Genomic DNA, 20114 nt, shown 5'->3' with positions numbered 1-20114 from the left:
CACATAATAGAAAAAATAATGTCTAAGTAGAAGCTGAGCTTAGTGGCGCATGCCTGAAGTCCCCACTGCTCAGGAGGCTGAGGCAGGAGGCTCCCTTGAGCCCAGTATTCTGAGACCAACCTGGGCAACAAAGCAAGACCCCATCTCTAAAATAAATAAATAAATAAATAAATAAATAAATAAATATTTTAAAATATAAGATGGAGTCACAAAAATGAACAAAAAATGGCAATATATAAAATGACCAGGTAGATTTGAAGTGGAATGGCTTCAAACTTTTAGAATAGAAAATGCAATTTTTATAGCAGTTATTTAATAACTGAAAAAAGTCTTAAAATAAGATCAGCTGCAGATCAGACAGCTGAAAAGAAAATCAAGACTTACAATGTGTTGGGACATAACCAAAGTGAAATTAAGAACGAGAAGGACTAACATATTCATCGTCATCATTCCGGAGGAGATAGTAGAGTCAATGGAGGGGGAAAGACAGTAGACTATTTGAAGAAATAACCATTAATACTTTCCAGATGTTAACAAAAGATATCACAGATACAGTATGCAAAATATTCAAGATGATTAAGACAAACGAATTCATTCATGGATACCTTGTAGTAAAACTGCAGAAATCTTTAAGACAAAAAAAGAGAAAAATCTTAGAAGTGTCAAGAAAGAATAAAGAGATGACCAGAAAGAAGTTACAAGTAAATTTACAGAATACTTCTCAATAGCAGTAATGGAAACCATTTGGCAGTGGAACTCTCTCTCCACAGACCTTAGAGAAAAGTATCAATATAAAATTATATATAAAATAAAACCATGTTTAAGAAAAATTCAAAAACACAAACATAAACTAAATAATTATCAACTTATTCTTAGTTATAGAAATTTCTCAATGATGTATTTCAAGAAAAAATGGGTGCAGAAAGTATCAGATGGAAGAGGGAATACTAAGCAAATAAATGTTAAACAAGCTGTGAAGTTTAAATATTGGTTGTAACATCATAACTAGATGTTTATCTTGTTCAGTTAAAAATGAGATCTAAAAATCTTGAAATAGTACAGTCTAAAGCAGAAAATTCCGTTAGATTACATTAAAGTCCTTAGAGGAGGGTAAAGGTTTATTTGATTAAAACAACCACCTTACAATTTCTAGAGAAATTCGTAAGAACACAGAAATAGATTGCCGAACTTTCTACCTAATACAGGGGGGAAAATCTAGTAAGGAAAATAAATGTGAATAACTAAAACCAAAATTTAAGTGGGGAAATAATAGAAAGTAATGACAATGATTTTTTTTAAAATAAAATATTGACTTTAAAGATTGTCAGTTTGGTCTCAAATATTTGATCATATTGTGTTTATAATACATAAATTTACAAAATAGGCAGGCTGAAAGAAGTGTTGAAAAGTAAAGGCCAGGCTAATATTAATACAATTACTGGTGTAGCAATTAGACCAAAATATTTTATAGCTAAAACAGCATGACAAAAGGGTATTAGTATATATTAATGGAAGCTTGAATTCATTGAGAAGATATAACAATTCTAAACTGGTATGTGCCCAATAACATAGGTTCAAATCATATAAAAAAGTGACAAATGTACAAAAAGAATTTGAAAAATTCACTATCAGAGCATATAATTTAATGCAACTCTCTTCCTACTCAATATATTAAACTCAAAAGAAGAAAGATTTTAATATTGGAAATATTAATCTTAATCCAAAAGTCCCATATAAACCCTGCACTTAAATGGAGAATATATTTCTTAAAACACAGAGTACTTTACCAGCATTGACTGCAGAATAGTCCATAGAGCAAGTCTCAGCAAATTTCAAAGCTGACATTCCTATATTACAGCATAATTTAATTATAAATCAGTAAAATAAAATACTCTAAATATTTGGAAATTTAAACATACAATTCTTAGTAAGTCAATAACAAAGAAGAAATCACAATGGAAATTATTCACAATTATTTAGACCATCAAAATAATGAGACACTATAAATGACTTTCAGCCTTGCCCTCTCTCTCTCTCTATATATATCTAGATATATACACACATGTATACACACTCTGTGTCTCTCTGTATATACATACAAACACACATTCACATGCACACATACGTATATAAAACTGACATTTCAGATCATAAGTGAAAATATGATAAATGCATTAAATAAGAATTCAGTAAAAGGAGCTTCGATGCTTGTTATTGTTTTGTTTGTTTGTTTGTTTGTTTTTTTGAGACAGAGTCCACCTCTGTTGCCCAGGCTGGAGTGCAGTGGCACTCTCAGCTCACTGCAAACTGCCTCCTGAGCTCAGGCGATCCTCCCTCCTCAGCCTCCCAAGTAGCTGGGACCACAGGCACACGCCACCACTCCCAGCTAATGTTTGGTACTTTTGGTACAGACAGGGTTTCACCATGTTGCCCAGGTTGAACTCGAGCTCATGAACTCAAGCAATCTGCCTGTCTCAGCCTCCCAAAGTGTTGGGATTACAGGCGTGAACCACCACGCCTGGCAGGTGCTTGTTATTCTTGTTTGTCCTTCTTGAAAAAATAAACCAATAAAAAGGAAATAGGATCCTTGTATCGTACCATAGAAAAATGTTCAAAATATTAAGAACATCTATGTGGAAATTAGTACAAGAGAATATATGAGAGGATCTTTATAACATTAAGATACGAAGTATGTTTTTAAAAAGATACAAAAAATCCCAATCCATAAAGCAAAAGGTTGGTGCTGTATATTCACTAAATAAAATCTATACATATTAGTTAAGCTCTTAGCTAATTGAAAGACACGATGAAGAGAATAAAAGAGAAGCCACCACTTAGAAGATATTCTTTATAGTAATCAACAAAAGATTAGTATCTAGAACATGTAAAGATTTCCCAACAACCAATAGGAAAATAAATTAAAAAAAAAAACAACTAAAAGTATATTGGTCAAAACATACAAATAGGAATCTTGAAGAACTATGAATGATAAATAATTTTAGGAATGCCATTCAAATCTAATTTTTAGAAATCAGAGAAATGCAAGTAAAAACTGCAATATATTAGTATTACACACCCACCTGTTTTGAAAACCTTAATTTGGACTCTATAAACTGTTGATAAGGACATGAATAAATAAGGGTTCTCATACATTGCTAGTGGGGACATAAATTTGTACAACCACTTTGTCAAGTATAGATTCAACGTTATCTATATTGGTGTTTGTATTACTGTTAATTATTTATTAAACTATATAAGTGTGTATTATTCACTTTTTTTCCTATGGTATATTTACAATGTGAGCTAAGATATTGAAGGATAAACAAGAGTTAGCTAAATGAAAGTTGGAGCCACACTTGTAAACAAATATTTGCAATAAAGCCAACAATTGAAATTTATTATAAACATTTTTCTAATATATGAGCTATGTATCACTTAATCTTTTCAGCAGCCCAAAGAAGCAGGTATTAGTTTACTTACATTCCCAGATGAGGTAACAGAAGCAAAGAAAGGTCAAATAACTTGCCTAGGAATATATCACATTTAGGTAGTAAAACAAGAATGAGAACTCAGGTGGTCTGATTCCAGAGTCTACTCTGTTCACCTCCTCTTTTTGCCTCTCAAAGGAGTACTCAGTCCCTATGCTACCAAAGTTTTCAATAGCTAAATTAGAGAATGCAGAGTGTCAGTGTGAGCCATAATGCATGCTTAGACAGTTGTTCTGAGTCTCTACCTGGAATATTTCTCTGCATCACAGGTTTAAGGTTCTTATCCAACTAATGTCACAAAAATCTCTCCGTGTAAGGCAATACTGACTATATAAATATTTAATTTCAGTATCTAGGATTTTTTTGTAGCTAAAGTGTCTGCTTTCCAGTTTTATGATACCTTGGAAGATAATTAGTAATTATGTGGTTGTTTGGTGATCATGAAATCAGAGTGAATGCAGATAGATATTATTGAGGGATACTCCACCCATGCCATCAATGACTAGGTGAAAGATCTACTGATAGAGAACATCACTCCATTCACTGCAGTGCTTTTCAAAGTATCTGTGTATTGACAGAATTTTAGCTTCAAGGTCAAGTACTCAAAGAAACATTTGCTTATACTCAAGGTTACATTTTCTGACTGTTCATTCTGTATCTCTAGGACACAACACAGAGCCTAGCATATAGTAGGTACTCCATAACTATGAACAAACACCCATGCTCTTCCTCTTGTCACCCTATAGTTAGAGTTTCAGATTTAATGGAGACTTGTCTCTCCATCTCTTCATCTATTGCTCTTTCCTTCATAATACATTTGTTTTCCTAGTGGGAACCATATCTTGATGATCAGCTTTAATTTTTTTTAATAACAATCAAAATCCTGTTTTGCTTCCAGGTGATCTGCTACTATTACCTTGCATAGACGTAGACGTAGCTGTCCTCCAAGCTTCCCAAGAACACGCTAATGAATTTTCTTTTAAGATTTGGTTATTGTCATTCACCAAGTGGCCATTTTTTCAAAGCTGTGCCTTAAAAAGCATCCTATCCATTTGGCAGCCAGAGTCATAGTGTTCCTTAGAGAACTGAAGAGGAAATGGAAAGGACATTCATGCGCCAAGAAAAAAGTTTGACAGAATGGCCATGGGGAGTTGAGAACACAGGGGAAGAGGTCAGTGTGAGGTCTGGCTGGAAGCAGTACAGCAGAGCTATGCATTCAGAAGAGAAATGGTGTTGAACCAGATAGACATTTCTGGAAGCCTGGGGGCCGAGTTCTAGGTCAGAGAGACTTTAGAAGCATTGTTAATACAATGCTTACTCCCTAGTTGACTTTCACAAATATTTGTCTTATAAATTCATGTTTTGATATGAATTGGATAGTTAGACATGAAAGAAAGTGCATCACAATCAGGCAGAAACATTGAGAGGCATGGGGAAGCAGAGGAAAATGACACAGCATTTGACTCAGAGAGAATGCCCAAAATACCAAGAGTTGAAAAGTATGTTGTACATTATATAGAATGAAATATAGTTCACTGGTACTTGTGGTTGGTAATGTGTGGTTACTTGACATCACAGGCAACCCGACCGACGCATAATGGGAACTGACTTCACAAGATCAACCACAGGTCAAGAGTGTAGTTGCATCTTCTGGGTTCCCAAACTTATTCTTAACAAAAGGTACACTTGTGTCTAAATTCTACATTGACTCTTTGATCTGAATCAGGCTGTTCTCAGCAGGTCCTTGCACCCCCACTATGAGAAAATGTATCCTTTACTGTGTTTGAATTCAAAGCAAAGTGAAATTTGAGTGGTAAAAAATAAAAAGGTCCTTCCAGCCCCACAGTGATTTGAGATTCCTACTTTTCAGACTACTACATGCCATAACTAAGTCAATATGTGATAAAACACATAGGCAAAATTCTTAAAAATATCTATTGTGCAAAGATGCTAACAAGAAGGATAAATGATCTATTTAAGATAACTATGGCTAATGTATTAACAAAAATAAAGTTGGAAATTATTTTGATATGATAATTTTTGTTCTTAAACAAGAGATGTACTGTTGTGCTTGCCATTTAAAAAAATAACATTTATTAAAGTTGATACTAAAATCCCATATTTCCTGGCTTCTGCATCACTCTTAAATAATATAAAAAATAATATCCTTGTAGTTTCATTTGCGGTTGAAAAAAGTGTTTGACTCACTAAGGTTGAATGTCAGGTAATTTCATTTAATGTTCACTTTTAAAAGAGGAAAGGTGGAGAAAGATTTAGATGAAAAGTAGAGTGTGTGACCTTAGAAATGTATTTATAAGGTCTGACTGCAGCAGCCAAAAATAATAACCATTGAACTTAGTGAATAATTTAAGGCCAATGAGCTAACAGTGATCTTTGCAATGAGATATTAATACGTAAATATTTTAGTCAGCTTTTTCACACCCGGCATAAAAATGCCTCGTATTTTATCTACAATCTTATTCTAAGTGAAATTTCTGAGAGACTTTGTGTTCTCACTGAAGTCTTTATATACACATTCACACATTATAATTAAATGATTTTACTACGCAAATACATTCAGGAAAAAAGATTATGTTTTCTAAAATATGCAGTGATGATACCTAAGGCCATGTTTCATTTCACACATTGGGACACCGTGATAACTAAATTTAGTTCCTTTATCTGGGTCTATTTGCTGTGACAGTGTAATTTATCGAAGATTAGAATCATTTGCTTTTTAACCAATACCTAGCCTTAAAGAAATATTTCTAAAGTTGATCAACAGGCATAAATATTTCTGAACCTGCAAAACCTATTTCCTGCTCACACATCCATAGTATACAGATAAATATTCATGTAATTATATCCACATATAAATTAATATGGGTTAATTCCTTTGTGTTAATTTGATATTAATAAAACAATGACTCTAGTTTTCAGGCAAATGATTTAGTTTTGTCAATGCGTTTACTTGATAGTTACTTTAAGGTAGGAATATTTGATAGAAACTTAAGATGGGTCTCTACTACTGTACATGGGAGAGTGGAAAAACAAACCTAGAAAAAGCATTACTGGGGAAAAGTCTAGAGGTTTAAATTGTGACCCTGCTCAGTCACATATGGAGCAAGTTACTTCATCTGTCTCAAATCATTTTTCTCACCTTAGATGCAAAGATATCTCTGGGTAATTCATAAGGTCCTTCAAATTGCAATCATGAATGAGTAAACTGTGGTGACAACCAAGTCCCCCCAAAATTGTAAATAAATGGAACTTTGAAAATGCAATCATACTTTAATGGCCATTTAAACATAATGTGATATACACTATGAATTTTCATAGGCTATAAACATGGCCATATAGAAAATGCAACTGTCTTTATTGAAATCCATAACCAAATTAAGATCATACAAGCCCAAGTAGAGGAAATGTTTTTATCAATGTAGAGTTTTTTCCATCAAACAGGTTTGCCTATGTCCACCCCCATTTTTCTTACCTGAAAGAGAGCCCAGGTAGTAGTTCAGAGAAGCACCTGCTGAGTTACCTTAGCTAGAATTGCTGGAGCTATTTGCATCCGTTGGCCTGGGATCCATTTATTAGGTCCCTGTAGGTTACTACCTTTTCCTTAGTCTACCCAACCTCTTCATGTCACCAGATCTCTTTGTTCCCTTTTGATTTCTTTCTCAGAGCCACAAATTTTTTTTTTTTTTCATAGTCTGCAGAGCTGTTTGGGAGCTACAGGAAAGCAGCGTGTTCTATTTCTATCCATCTCTGATGAGGTACATTATCCCCATGTCAACTCTATAGCTGTTGTACTCCATTTGAGTCCTGGGAACTCTGTAAGGCTTGTCATGAACCCTAGACTTGTTCTGGAAGTCAAAAAACAAGTTTCATTCTTTTTTAGGATTCCAAATATTTGAGGATTCCATTTTCTATCCTCTCTGAAAACTTGAGCCTGGAGGGAAGAGAAAATTAGAGGTCTCTTATCAAGGCCCTGCCATTGTCTAGGTTTTATTCTTCCCTTCAAATAGTCCCTTCTCTCCCAACATGAGAACATTTACCTCTTTTCTGGGTAAGTTCAGCTTTCCATCTACTGTTTTCTATCTCTTTTTATATCTTTCAGGTCTCAGCCTTTTGAAACTCAAAAGAACTAGTTTCCTGTAAATCAAAGCATTTCCTCTCAAAGCTTTAGTATCTTTCTTGACTTTCAAAGATTGTTTTTGAATCCAAAATCAAATAATTTGACTTCTTACTTCTCTCTGGATTTCTGTGTGCCTTCCTTCTTTTCCTTTGTCTGTGCACTATGCTGAATCACTGGAGGAGTCTGTGATAACCATGATCTATACTTCAAACTTGTGTGACTCAGAAAAAGACATCACCTCTGGGTGGATGCAGTAGAAACCACACAACATCTGGGTAGACTGGCCTTCTATGTGCAATGCTTGGCAATGGGACACTAGCTTTTTTTTTTTTTTTTTAATACAGTGAAGGTTTTAATTTCTTAATAGTTTTAGTTATATATGTCAGGAAATGGAAGGCCACTATTATATTTATTTCATTTTTTAAACATCATAGTATCTATCATTTAGATGAATAAATACATTACCAAAAGTGAAAACTTTTATTATTCTGAGAAAATAAGGTCTGTGCATTTGCTGCTTAATTTTTAATAGCCAATTGTTACTTAGAATTAATTTAAAAGTTCATGTAGTCATATATATGAATAAATATTAGTGGTATTCCTTAGCTTTTAGCAAGGAAAAATTCCCTTCCTCCCAGTCATTGCGGCCACAGCAGAGGATTGGTGAGTGGCTTGGTGAGTAGGGTAGGGACCAGATTCCAGCCCACTCAGATCTCTTCATTTCCTTTGTACAGGGCCCTATAACACTGACATAAACTGCATTTTTAGAGATAAATAAAATGCAAGAGGGAAAGCATTTCTAGTAATATTTTAGAAGTTTATCCCACTACCTATATTTGGTGAAAGTAAGGTAAATTTGAAGTTAGTGGAGCCCAGGTAGTAATATACAATTGTGATTTGGAACATGTTGTAAGAAAAGTAAACTACGTCCCACTGAAAAATGAAGCCATATTTTAATGAATGCTCCCAGAAATAGGAAAATGTATACAAATCTTAAATTGTCAATTACTCAAATATGTTAAGCAAATGCAGTCAAATTTTCAAGTGGTAGAAATAATTTTCCTATCCTCTCATCATCTTCAATTGTTTAAATATTATTCTGGTTTAATTTGGTCACATTTGCAAAAACACATCTGCCAATACTTACTAGATAAGGAAAACTTTTTTTAATATCTTTCAGTGTTTGTGGCATTCATAACTGGGTATACATCATTAAGAATGTATCTAATATAATTAAGTAAGGAATTCTGAAGCCAGATGCAAGCAATATTTACAACTCAGTATGAAGTTATGCACAACATAAATATATCACAGTCTCTTTTACTTTCATAATGTACAGTTTTGAAAAATGAAACATGGGCTTTAGAATATTCTCCTTGAGCATGTGCCATTAGGAAAACTACTTAAACCAATGTATATAGATCAAAACAATTTGTATAGAATTTTATTTCATTGATTATCAATCCACTTTATTTGAACAGTACTAAGATCAAAATCATTTTGCAAAAATGACTGTAAACCTGATAAAGTAGTAGCACTAGAGCACTGTGTTACACTGAAAGTATATTTAAAAGTGAAAGTAAATCAATAATAATTATACCACCCCAAATAAATTATCTTTTCTTATTAATACTGTGATTGTAAAAAATGTAGTATAGATGGATTTTTTAAAGAACACAATCATCTATTAAATAAATTTGTCAAAAGTATGTTATTCCACTAATTTTCAGATGTCAACTTCAATTTTTAATAAGTGAGAGGAGGGCTGTAGAAATAAAGCAGAAGACAGCAATGAAATAAAAATGAGAGGTTTAAAAATTATTTTGCTAGTGTTCTAACTTTTTTCACAATTAGTGAATGAATAAAATATGTAAGCAAGACATTAATTATTGGATATAAATAAAGATCCATCAGCATGTGATTCTATTGAAGACATATTAAATAACTCAAGAAGTGGATTAGTATCTGTAACCTTCTTGAAAATTTCTAAACCATCTATTTCTACATCCTTACTAGCATTGATTGAAATCAGTTGAATCAGTAGTTTATGTTCATTTCCTTTCATTTGCTGTTATTTTACACAGGGGAATATTTGCATTTGCATTGTATTCCTGACATAAGTAAAACCCATTTCAAAATTCATACCTGCTTTAATGTGGTAGTATATTTGTATGCAATTGCTTCCTCTAATAAGTCATCATTGTACAGGAATGTTGACTCTAAGAATCTTGCTTTAATAATCCAAGAATAGTTATTTTAAAAGAGTAATAGATAAATAAAAGAACTACAAATGAAACCTGGCAGTTAAAAAGAATTGTATTACTTTTTACCTAAATATTAATCTCTAGGGAGAAAAATAAAGAAAAATGGAGAAACTATAGATTAAGAAGTGCATTAAGGTATTCATTAAAAAGGCATTTAGTGAAACAACCAGAATCTCAAACACGAAACCACTCAATAATTCTAGTCTTGCTGCCTGGTCTAATGTAATGCTGTAGATGGGATTGAGGTGATGGGGAGGAAGTGTCTACACCACATGTTGAGCAAAATGAAAGGACCTAAGCTTCCCTGGCTTTCATTTAGTAACTTCCTGAGCAGAGTAGATATTTGTTTCTCTAATCAATTGTTCTTTTAAAATTATTTTCTTCTTAGTTTTTGTTTTTATATCTGATGGAGGTATCATTTTTTCTACATGAAATATAAAGGAGTGGCTTTGTGGCTAATTAAAGCACATTTGTTGTTTTAGGTTCCCAGAGATAGGTTTTTGTGTGTGTGTGTGTGTGTGTGTGTGTGTGTGTGTGTGTGTGTGTGTGTGAAAGTGCTATCTATCATAAAGCTATGTAAAAGTTACTCTGTTTTGACAGAAAGTTATTATTTTTTAAATGCATATATACTGCTAGTGAAAATAAATACATTCTTATTATCCAATCTAATTTACAACATTGCAGTGTTCAGTTCATATTTTTCAGTTGAACTGGTTCATATAAAGAAATTTACTCATCTTTTTTTCAATCCCTGTTTTGTATGGAATTAACAAACATAACATTCACACTAGGAGTCTTGAGATTTATATTTTAATATTTTGCATTGCTCATTTTGAACATGTTTGTCTATTCTATCAGATTGAAGAATAACTTTTGAGATAAACGGGCAAGTCTAGGTAATCTTGAAATCCATCTAACTCGTGAAACTACTTCTCAAACTCTACTGGGACACCCAGCCCCTATTTTGAACATCCCTAATTATAAGTAAATGTATTTTCTTATGCTGCAAAATAATCTGAAACTTTTATGCAATGAATCTTGTTCTTTCACTTGGAGTCTCAAAAAATAAATTTAATCCCTTTTTCAAACACATACTTTTAGGAGTTTAAAAACAACTTTTGCATCCCCTATAAATGTTTTATTGATCAGGCTAAATATTCCCCGTTTTTTCGAACTTTCCTGACATAGAATTCTTTTTAATATTTTCTTCATTATCCACTATACTTGCCACATCATTGTTCACTACACTTGCTCTATTTTGTTATATTAGTTTCTAAATGTGTTATCAGAAATATGTAAATGGGATATTTTAAATGTGCATTATGATATCAAGTATAATATCAGCTTCATTTTCTAGCTACCTCATTATAATTAAGAGCATCGTTGCATTATAACGTGATTTTCTGCAGTCCTATCATTCAGATGGGTTACTATGAACTTTCTAAAACCCCTCTTTTTTATAGGTTCTCACTAAACCATTTATCTCTCTTTTTTTTTTTTTTTTTTTTTTTGAGACAGAATCTGGCTCGGTCGCCCATGCTGGAGTGCAGTGACATGATCTCGGCTCACTGCAACCTCCACCTCCCAGGTTCAAGCAATTCTCCTGTCTCAGCCTCCCAAGTAGCTGGGACTACAGGCGTGTGCCACCATGCCCGGCTAAGTTTTGTATTTCTTTCTTTCTTTTTTTTTTTTTTTTAAGTAGAGATGGGGTTTCACCATGTTGGTCAGGCTGGTCTTGAACTCCTGACCTCAGGTGATCTGCCCACCTCAGCCTCCCAAAGTGTTGGCACTGTAGGTGTGAGCCACTGCACCTGGCCCATTTATCTCATATCTGATTTAATGTGGCTTGTACTTAGGAAGCATTAATAAGGTATTTCTGGGGCATTTACTGCTCATCGAAAGTGAGATTGTACATTACTTTTTTATTCCTTGTAAATGTGGTCCTGATAGGCTCAGGACCTTGATCTAAAATTAAGTTTTTCAGTCAGGGCTAAAGACTTAAAGAAGGGTTAAATAGGTAGGGAGGCATTTGTGAACTTTTATTCCTGATATCTTGCCAATTCTGTTTGAGGAAGACCACAAATTAGGACAGTACTCTTGGAACACAAAACTAGACAGTTTGTTATTCTTTTTGGTTATAGGTAGAATAATTACTATTCAGTTTCTTTATACAATTATAGTTTGCTATGCAAGCCAATATGAATATTAATCAACTTACATTCATTAGGAAAATAAGAAACAATATGTTGTGACCAGTAAAAACGGGCCCAGAGCAAAGATAAATGCCCTCCTGTTCCCTACTCCCTCTGCCTTAGACAAAAACAAAATTACCATACTTCTTCAGTGAGTGAGGGTCATGTGTTTGGCTACGGACGTAGGAGACTGGGATGAAGGCATTGAGGCAAAGAGGGTGAGCAAGCTTTTTCCTCAGTAGTGGAAGGAAGCTTACTAAATGTGGCTCAGGGATGTAGGTACAAAAATTTTTATAGCTTCGGTGTTTTCCTGGAAGTTCAAAGTGGCTGCTGGATTGAAGAGACTCTGAGCATTGCCTGGGGACGCTGACTGTATGGACCATGGGGGTCCCGTGATAACACATCAGCTGAATTAGCTTCATTTTCCCCCAAGTAATGAGATCTGGGTTCTAGGCAGAATTAAAAGTATGATTGTATTTTCTTTTGTTTTGTTTTTAAACAGGCCAAATTGAGTTATCTTTTCTGGTACTTCACTAATCTATTTTTTTTTTTCACTAACGCTCTAAACTCACCACTTTTGGGGAAAAAATTACCTTTTTTCCCCCTTTCTCATAAAGATTAAAATCCTCAATATAACAGTTTCCCAGAGGCCTTGCTGTTCTCATTTCAAATAATATCTGAAGTAACTAGTAACTTCACTCTAAAAAATCTTCCAGATGATTAATGCTCGCAGGCCTGAAGTTATATTTTGTGCTTTATATGTCTTTAGTAAAAAGCAAGCCGTGTACATTTTTCTTTTAAGACCTAGGCAAGGGCAAATTTCTATATGTCTATTTTGGGTCACAGAGAGACCCGGAAGCTTATTACTTCAGTTTGTTTTCCTCTAGGCACTGTCTTTATCCAAGTATTTACCTCACCATCCAAAGCATTCACACTTCAAAAATGTTTAACTTAATTGTGTACAAATTTGTTTAAAACCTAGCATTCTTGAAGAGTAAATACCAATGAAAAGAATAAAATACATATGTGCATATCTGGTATAGAATAACTAGAAGGAAACTAGATAATCTTTCAAATATTTCCAAACTTATATTCCATTATTATCTTTAGTACAGGAAGGTACTAGGAAGTTTTCTCATAAAGTAAGAATCATAGTAGACAATGTCTTCCCATTTTTAACTTTTCTTGTAACAAAATTTTCCCACTTGTCTTAGATGGTATGAATGAATTAGCTATTCACATGGGTGCCTACAAAAGTAGACAAAGTTTTTACATTTGTAACCATAGTCCTTTAAGTATTAGGTCTAATTAACTTTAAAAGATTATAATAGCTGTAAAACAAGGCAATTAGGCAAATTGAAGATATATTTCAGGAGGTCAACAAACTTTTTCTGTAAAGAGCCAGACAGTAAATATTTTCAACTCTGTAGGCTATACGGTTTCTGTTGTAACTACTTAACTTTTCTTTTGTAGCAAGAAAACAGCGATATATAATACATAATGGAGTGGATGTGGCTGTTTCCCAATAAAGCTTTATTTAAACAAGCAGACATGGGCTGGAGGTGGTAGGAGGGCCATAGTACATTGAAGTGGGCCTCAATGTAGCTGATATTGTCATCAGAAAAATGTTTCAACATTGTCAGTATAGCTTCATAGGTATTCTGTTGTACCTGAAACAGTTTAGATTCCATAAGAGGCAAAAGAAAATTCACTTTCAGCTCATCATTATGTATTTTGATGTGAATAACCATTTGTCTTAAATGCGAATTGAAGTGTGACAACCACATTTTTGTATTTTTAAAATTAAATGAAGTCTGTGCTGAATGAACTTTTGAAACATAGAGATCAAATTTTGCCTTATCCTTTCTTTAAAACAAATTATTTTTGCTTCATATTTATTCCATTTCCTCTTTTCTGTTCCCAGTAGACTTACTCATTTTCTTATGCATAATAGGGCCAGATAAATAATCATCCTAAAATTATTCATAAACAGATTTTTAAACATTATAATTGATTAAAATGTTTTATTCTGGGGGAGGCAAAATGGTAGCAGATTGGAGTATTTTGATATTCATAGGAACAGTAGTCTTAAGTTTCAATCCCATATTTAATTCTAGAGAACACACATCATTTTATGAGAAATATACTGATTAATTTGATTTTTCTTTCCCACACATAGGTATTCTTTGAAAAATTAATAAATATCTATAGCACTCTGCTGTAAATCCTGAGAAAAGGGAACATGATTCAGGCAGGTAAAATGCATTAAATATTTAGAAATGTGATTTTAGTGACAAAACAAAATCAAACTAAGGAACAGAAATGCCTGAAAACAAATGTCTAAATGATATTACCGGTGATGGGGTTAAATTTAATGTGGAGATTTTTATCCTGAAAAAGAGTACTGGAAGCCATTTTCTTGTTGAATTATACTCAAGGAAATAAGTTTTCTGGTTTTTGAGTATCACATCTTTTAAAAAGTTATTTACCCATCTTTTGTATTTATTCTTATCTGTCATGCCAATAAAATTACCATAATTTTTGAATTTACTTCTTTTAGAATATAAAATGCAGTCATAATTCTCTCTAAAGTTTTATGAATGAGCCATGTATTTTTGTGAGTGAAATAATAAATAAAATTTAGTTAGCTTGAATTTTTAAAAGTTTAAAAATTTAAAAAGATTAAATTTTTTTTTTCTTTTGGGAGAATGTTCTTGTAAAGCAACCCATACAGGTTCATGAAAATACTGAACGCTACTTAAAATCAACTGAATATGGGAGTTCTCCAAAAAATTGAAAAGTAGAACAACCATATGATCTAGCAATCCTACTACTGGATATATACCTGAAGGAAATGAATTAAATATTTTTAAAAGATATCTGCACTCATGTTAATTATAGCATTATTAACAATAGCTGAGATATGGAATCAACCTAAGTGTCCATTGATGGATGGATGAGTAAAGAAAATGTGGTATGTATACACAATACAATGTTATTCAGGCTAAAACAAAATGCAGTCTTGTCATTTGCTTCAACATGGATGAACCTGGCAGATACTGCTAAGTGAAATAAGCCAGGCATAACAAGACAAATACTGCACCATCTTATTTATGCATGGAATCTAAAAAAATTGAATTCATAGATGTAGAGAGTAGAATGGTGGTTATCAGGGGCTGAGGGGCAGGGGTTGCTGAGTTGGGCTTGGGAAAATGCTGGTCAAAAGATACAAAATTTCAGTCGGATAGGAGGAATAAGTTCAAGAGATCTATTGTACAACCATGGTGACTATAGTTAATAACAATATACTGCCTTCTTTACAAATGCTAAGAGAGTAGATTTTAAGTGTTCTCCTGACAAAAATGCTAAGTAATAAGGTAATGCATATACTAATCAGCTTGATTTAGCCATTTCATAATGTGTATATATGTCAAAACATCATGTTGTATGTGATAAATAAATGCAGTTTTGTTTGTCAATTTAAGTAGAATTAAGTTTAAAAAATTAAAATATCAAAATACTTCAAAATAAACCTAAAAATAACATAAATATGAAGTTCCTGACATGAATGAGAAAAACACAGTAAATAGCAAAGTTGCTAAAAATATTCTGGAAAACATAAGAACTTCACTTTGATGAACTAAAAGAGAGGAAGAAAACAATGTTGACTTGTTTTGTAATTTATATTCGAATTACTTAGAAAACTTATTTTAACAGTAACAAATCATAACATAATAACAGTAGTTTCTTTCTATTGTATGTATTAACTGTCAGGCACTCTACTAAATGCTTTACAAAATTATCTCTGATACTGAGTGAAGTTTAATTTTCCAACTATAATATCATAGTCAAAAATTCCTATTATTAAAAAAGACTCCATTTTAATTTTGTAATTATACTTGTCATTCAAGATAAAATAAATACATTTTAATAGTCCTGTAACAAATAGAGCAACATCCAATTTCTTGAGAGATGATATCCGAACTTCTGCAGATAATCTAGAATGTCCTAATTGTTTAGAAAACTTCCATCTAAGGATTATCTTTATTTTTAAATGTACATAATCCAAGTTTCTCTAAGATACTAACATACATTCTTGAATATCAAATATTGTTGAATGGAGGCCAGTACCTCAGTGACTCACTCAAAAGAGAATCCCTATAAATCAGTGCAGTTGATTGGCTTGGAGAAGGGCTGTTGATTTTAAAATCCTTTCTTCTTTGTATGCAAATGAGATGTTATGTGTTGACTTTGAATACAAAGGTGGTGGAAGGCCAAAGTTGAATTAGGTGTTATTGTAGGGTAATATCAGGGTCTGTAGTCCTTTTTATTATGCTTGGAAATACATGTTCTATACCAAGTGCTAATCCTCATGAATGGGGTTGTTTTTAAAAATTTTTTTTGTATTATACTATCTGGAAATAACCTCATTTTTAAAAAAGACTAATGAGTCAATCAAAAGTTACAGCTGATCCCTCCTGAAATTTCTTAAGTTCTATCACTGTAACAGGACCATTTTTAAACTGGGCTCAGGCTCAGATGACATATGATCACTGCCAGCTGCATCAAGTGGCAAAGTCTGGGTAAAAATAAGTTATTTGACCAGAACAGCCGAACAAAGCTGAAAATCTTCTGACACCTGATCCCTTCAGCAGCTGTGGAAATCTATTGAAAGGGCTCTCTTTCTAATGCATTTGTCAGAATGCTAATTGGAAAAATGACTTCATGTTATGAGTCATACAGTCACCTCTATGGACCTCATTAGACTTAAATGAGCATACTCAAGTCCAGCGCAATCATTCAGTTCAGCCATATGTTGGTAAAGAAGATCTCTCAGTAGTTGGGCTCCTGGCCAACTGTGAACGTTGTCCAGTGAAGAAATGGGGGGAAAATTGAATGGAGATATTTATGGCAGATATAGGTATAAGGCATTATACTTCCCGGAGTAATCCAAAATATGTGTTTGGAACTATAAGAAGTTCAAACAAGCTAAGCCAAAGACATTAGACCAAATTTTATGGCACACATAAAACGTGCTCTGATGCAGAGGGAAACTCAAAATTAACTAAGACAAGGACTTAGCGTCTCACAATTTAGAAAGGCAGATAACCACAAACATAGGTAAACGATAGGAGGGCTATGAAAAATGTTTAACAATAATGTGCCACTTAAGATCCTAGAGGAAAGTCTGGAAGTAAGGGATCAATTATGATTGTGTTAGGTGGGGAGGAGTAGAGGCTGGAGGAGTGAGGAAACTTCTTAGAGCAGGCAAAATGTGACCTAGGACTGCAAGGATGGAGACAAATTCTGGAAGCACATGTGGGCCTTGGTAGATAAGAAGGAAGTAGATGGGAAGGCTTTTGCAGTAGCAGATACTGCCAGGGAAACAACAGCATTGACAGGGAACAGACGATAGACAATTGTGACTATCATAGAACGTATTGGTTCAAAGCTGCTTTGTTGCTGATAGGACAATAATGGCAGAAAAGTTTTTAAATGTCAGCCTAAGAAACCTCTAGAATAAAGCTAGGTAATTGCAAAAGATTTAATCAATGGTTTTAAATGAAAAGCAGTTGTCTCTAAACGTATAGAGAATAACATTAGTTTTTCTACAGGTAATTGAATGCTTACAATCTCTTCATAGGTGTGTATATGTGCAATGCAAAATGTACCACATCATCAAATCAATTAAACACTTTGTTAGACTCTCTGCTACCAAGAAGGATAACTGTCTATCTAAACTTTTTTTTAATTTTTAATTTTTCTGGGTACATAATAGGTGTATATATTTACGGGTTATATGAGATATTTTGATACAGGCATGTTTAATAATCACATTAGGGTAAATGGGGATATTCATCACCTCAAACATTTATCCTTTGTGTTACCAACAATCTAGTTATACTCTTTCAGTTATTTTTAAATGTACAATTAAATTATTTTTGACTATAGTCACCCTGTTGTGCTAGCAAATACTAGGTCATATCCATTCTTTCTATTTTTTTTTTCACTTGTTAACGGTCCCCACCTTCTTCCCTACCCACCTCACAGCCTCTGGCAAACATCCTTCTACTCTCTGTCTCCATGAGTTTAATGTTTAGCTCCCACAAATAAGCAAGAACATGCAAAGTTTGTCTTTCTGTGCCTGAATTAACATGATGACCTCCAGTTCCATCCATGTTGTTGCAAATGACATGATCTTATTCCTTCTATGGCTGAGTAGTACTCCATTGTGTATAAGTGCCACATTTTCTTTATCCATTCTTCTGTTGATGAACACGCAGGTTGACTTCAAATCTTGGCTATTTTGAATAGTGCTGCAATATATATGAGAGTGCAGATACCTCTTTAATATTCTGATTTCCTTTCTTTTGGGTATATATTCAGCCATGGGATTGCTGGATCATATGGTAGTTCTATTCTTAGTTTTTTGAGGAACCTCTAAATTCCTCTCCATAGTTATACTAATTTACATTCCCACCAACAGTGTACTAGGGTTCTCTTTTCTCTACATCCTTGTCAACATTTGTTACTGCCTGTCTTTTGGATAAAAGACATTTTAAATGGGATAATATGATATTTCACTGTAGTTGTAATTTGCATCTCTCTGATGACCAGTGATGTTGAATACCTTGTCATGTACTTGTTTGCCAATTGTATGTCTTCTTTTGAGAAATGTCTATTCAGATCTTTTACCCATTTATTAATTAGAATTGGATTATTAGATTTTTTTCCTATACAGTTGTTTAAACTCCTTATATATTCTGGCTATTAATCCTTTGCCACATAGGTAGTTTGCAAATATTTCCTCCCATTCTGTGGGTTGTCTCTTCACTTTGTTGATTGTTTCCTTTGCCATACGAAGTTTTTTTTAAACTTCATGTGCTCCCATTTTTTCCATTTTGGTTTTGGTTGCCTGTGCTTGTAAAGTATTACTCAAGAATACTCTACAAGGCCAGTCCAATGTCCTGGAGAGTTTCCCCAATGTTTTCTTTCAGTAGTTTCATAGTTTTCAGCCTTAGATTTAAGTCTCTAATCCATTATCATTTGATTTTTACATATGGTGAGAGATAGGGGTCTAGTTTCATTCTTCGGCATATGGATATGCAGTTTTCCCATTTGTTGAAGAAACTGTCCTTTCCCCAATGTATGTTCTTGGCACTTTTGTCAAAAATGAGTCCACCTTAGATGTATGAATTTATTTCTGGGTTCTCTATTCTTTTCCCCTCATCTGTGTGTCTATTTTTATGGCATTACCAGGCCTTTTTTGATATTGTAGCTCTGCAGAATAATTTGAAGTTACGTATGTGACTCCTCTAGTTTTATTCTTTTTGCTTAGGATAGTCTTGGCTATTCTGGGTCTCTATATAAATTTTAGAATTTTTTTATTTCTGTGAAGAATGTAATTAGTTTTTTGTAGGAATTGTATTGAATCTGTAGATTGCTTTGGGTCATATGGACATTTAAATAATATTAATTATTCCAATCCATGAACATGGAATATCTTTCCTTTTTTGTGTCCTCTTCAATTTTTTGCATCAATGTTTTATACTTTTTATTGTGGAGATCTTTCATGTCTTTGGTTCAGTTAATTCCTAGGTATTTTATTTTATCCATAGCTATTGTAAATGGGATTATTTTATTGATTTCTTTTTCAGATTGTTTGCTATTGGCATTGAGAAATGCTACTGATTTATGTTGATTTTATATCCTGCAATTTTACTGAATTTGTTTATCAGTTTCAACAATTGCTAGGTGGTGTCATAGGATTTTTCCAAATACAAGATCATAACCTCTGCAAACAAGGATAATTTGATTTCGTCCTTTCCAGCTCGAATGTCCCTTATTTCTTTTTTAAGTCTGATTGCTCTAGCTGAGACTTCCACTGCTATGTTGAATAACAGTGATAAAAGTGGGCATACTTGTCATGTTCCAGATCTTAGAAGACAGGCTTCAGATTTTTCTCATTCAGTATGATACTAGCTATGGGTCTGTTGCATGTGGCTTTTATTATGTTGAAGTATGTTCTTTC

At 33.4% G+C, this 20114-nt stretch overlaps 1 long non-coding RNA gene across 1 annotated transcript in view, besides 1 other annotated feature; it reads right to left on the bottom strand.

Moving 5' to 3' along the window:
- Positions 1-20114, bottom strand: part of LOC107986770 (uncharacterized) — a 407223-nt gene that overhangs the window by 133965 nt on the left and 253144 nt on the right. The gene's annotated exons all lie outside the window — the stretch shown is intronic.
- Positions 7763-7963: a silencer, noted in NCBI's record as "peak6396 fragment used in MPRA reporter construct". NCBI's record gives its function as "represses an SCP1 promoter by STARR-seq MPRAs in K562 erythroleukemia cells {active_cell/tissue: K562}" and the evidence as "EXISTENCE:reporter gene assay evidence [ECO:0000049][PMID:32103011]".

This window comes from Homo sapiens, chromosome 7 (assembly GCF_000001405.40).
Source record: "Homo sapiens chromosome 7, GRCh38.p14 Primary Assembly".
Taxonomy (NCBI): Eukaryota; Metazoa; Chordata; class Mammalia; order Primates; family Hominidae; genus Homo; species Homo sapiens.
Note: the sequence above shows the minus strand (reverse complement) of the source record. Positions and strands in the feature narration are given on the sequence as shown.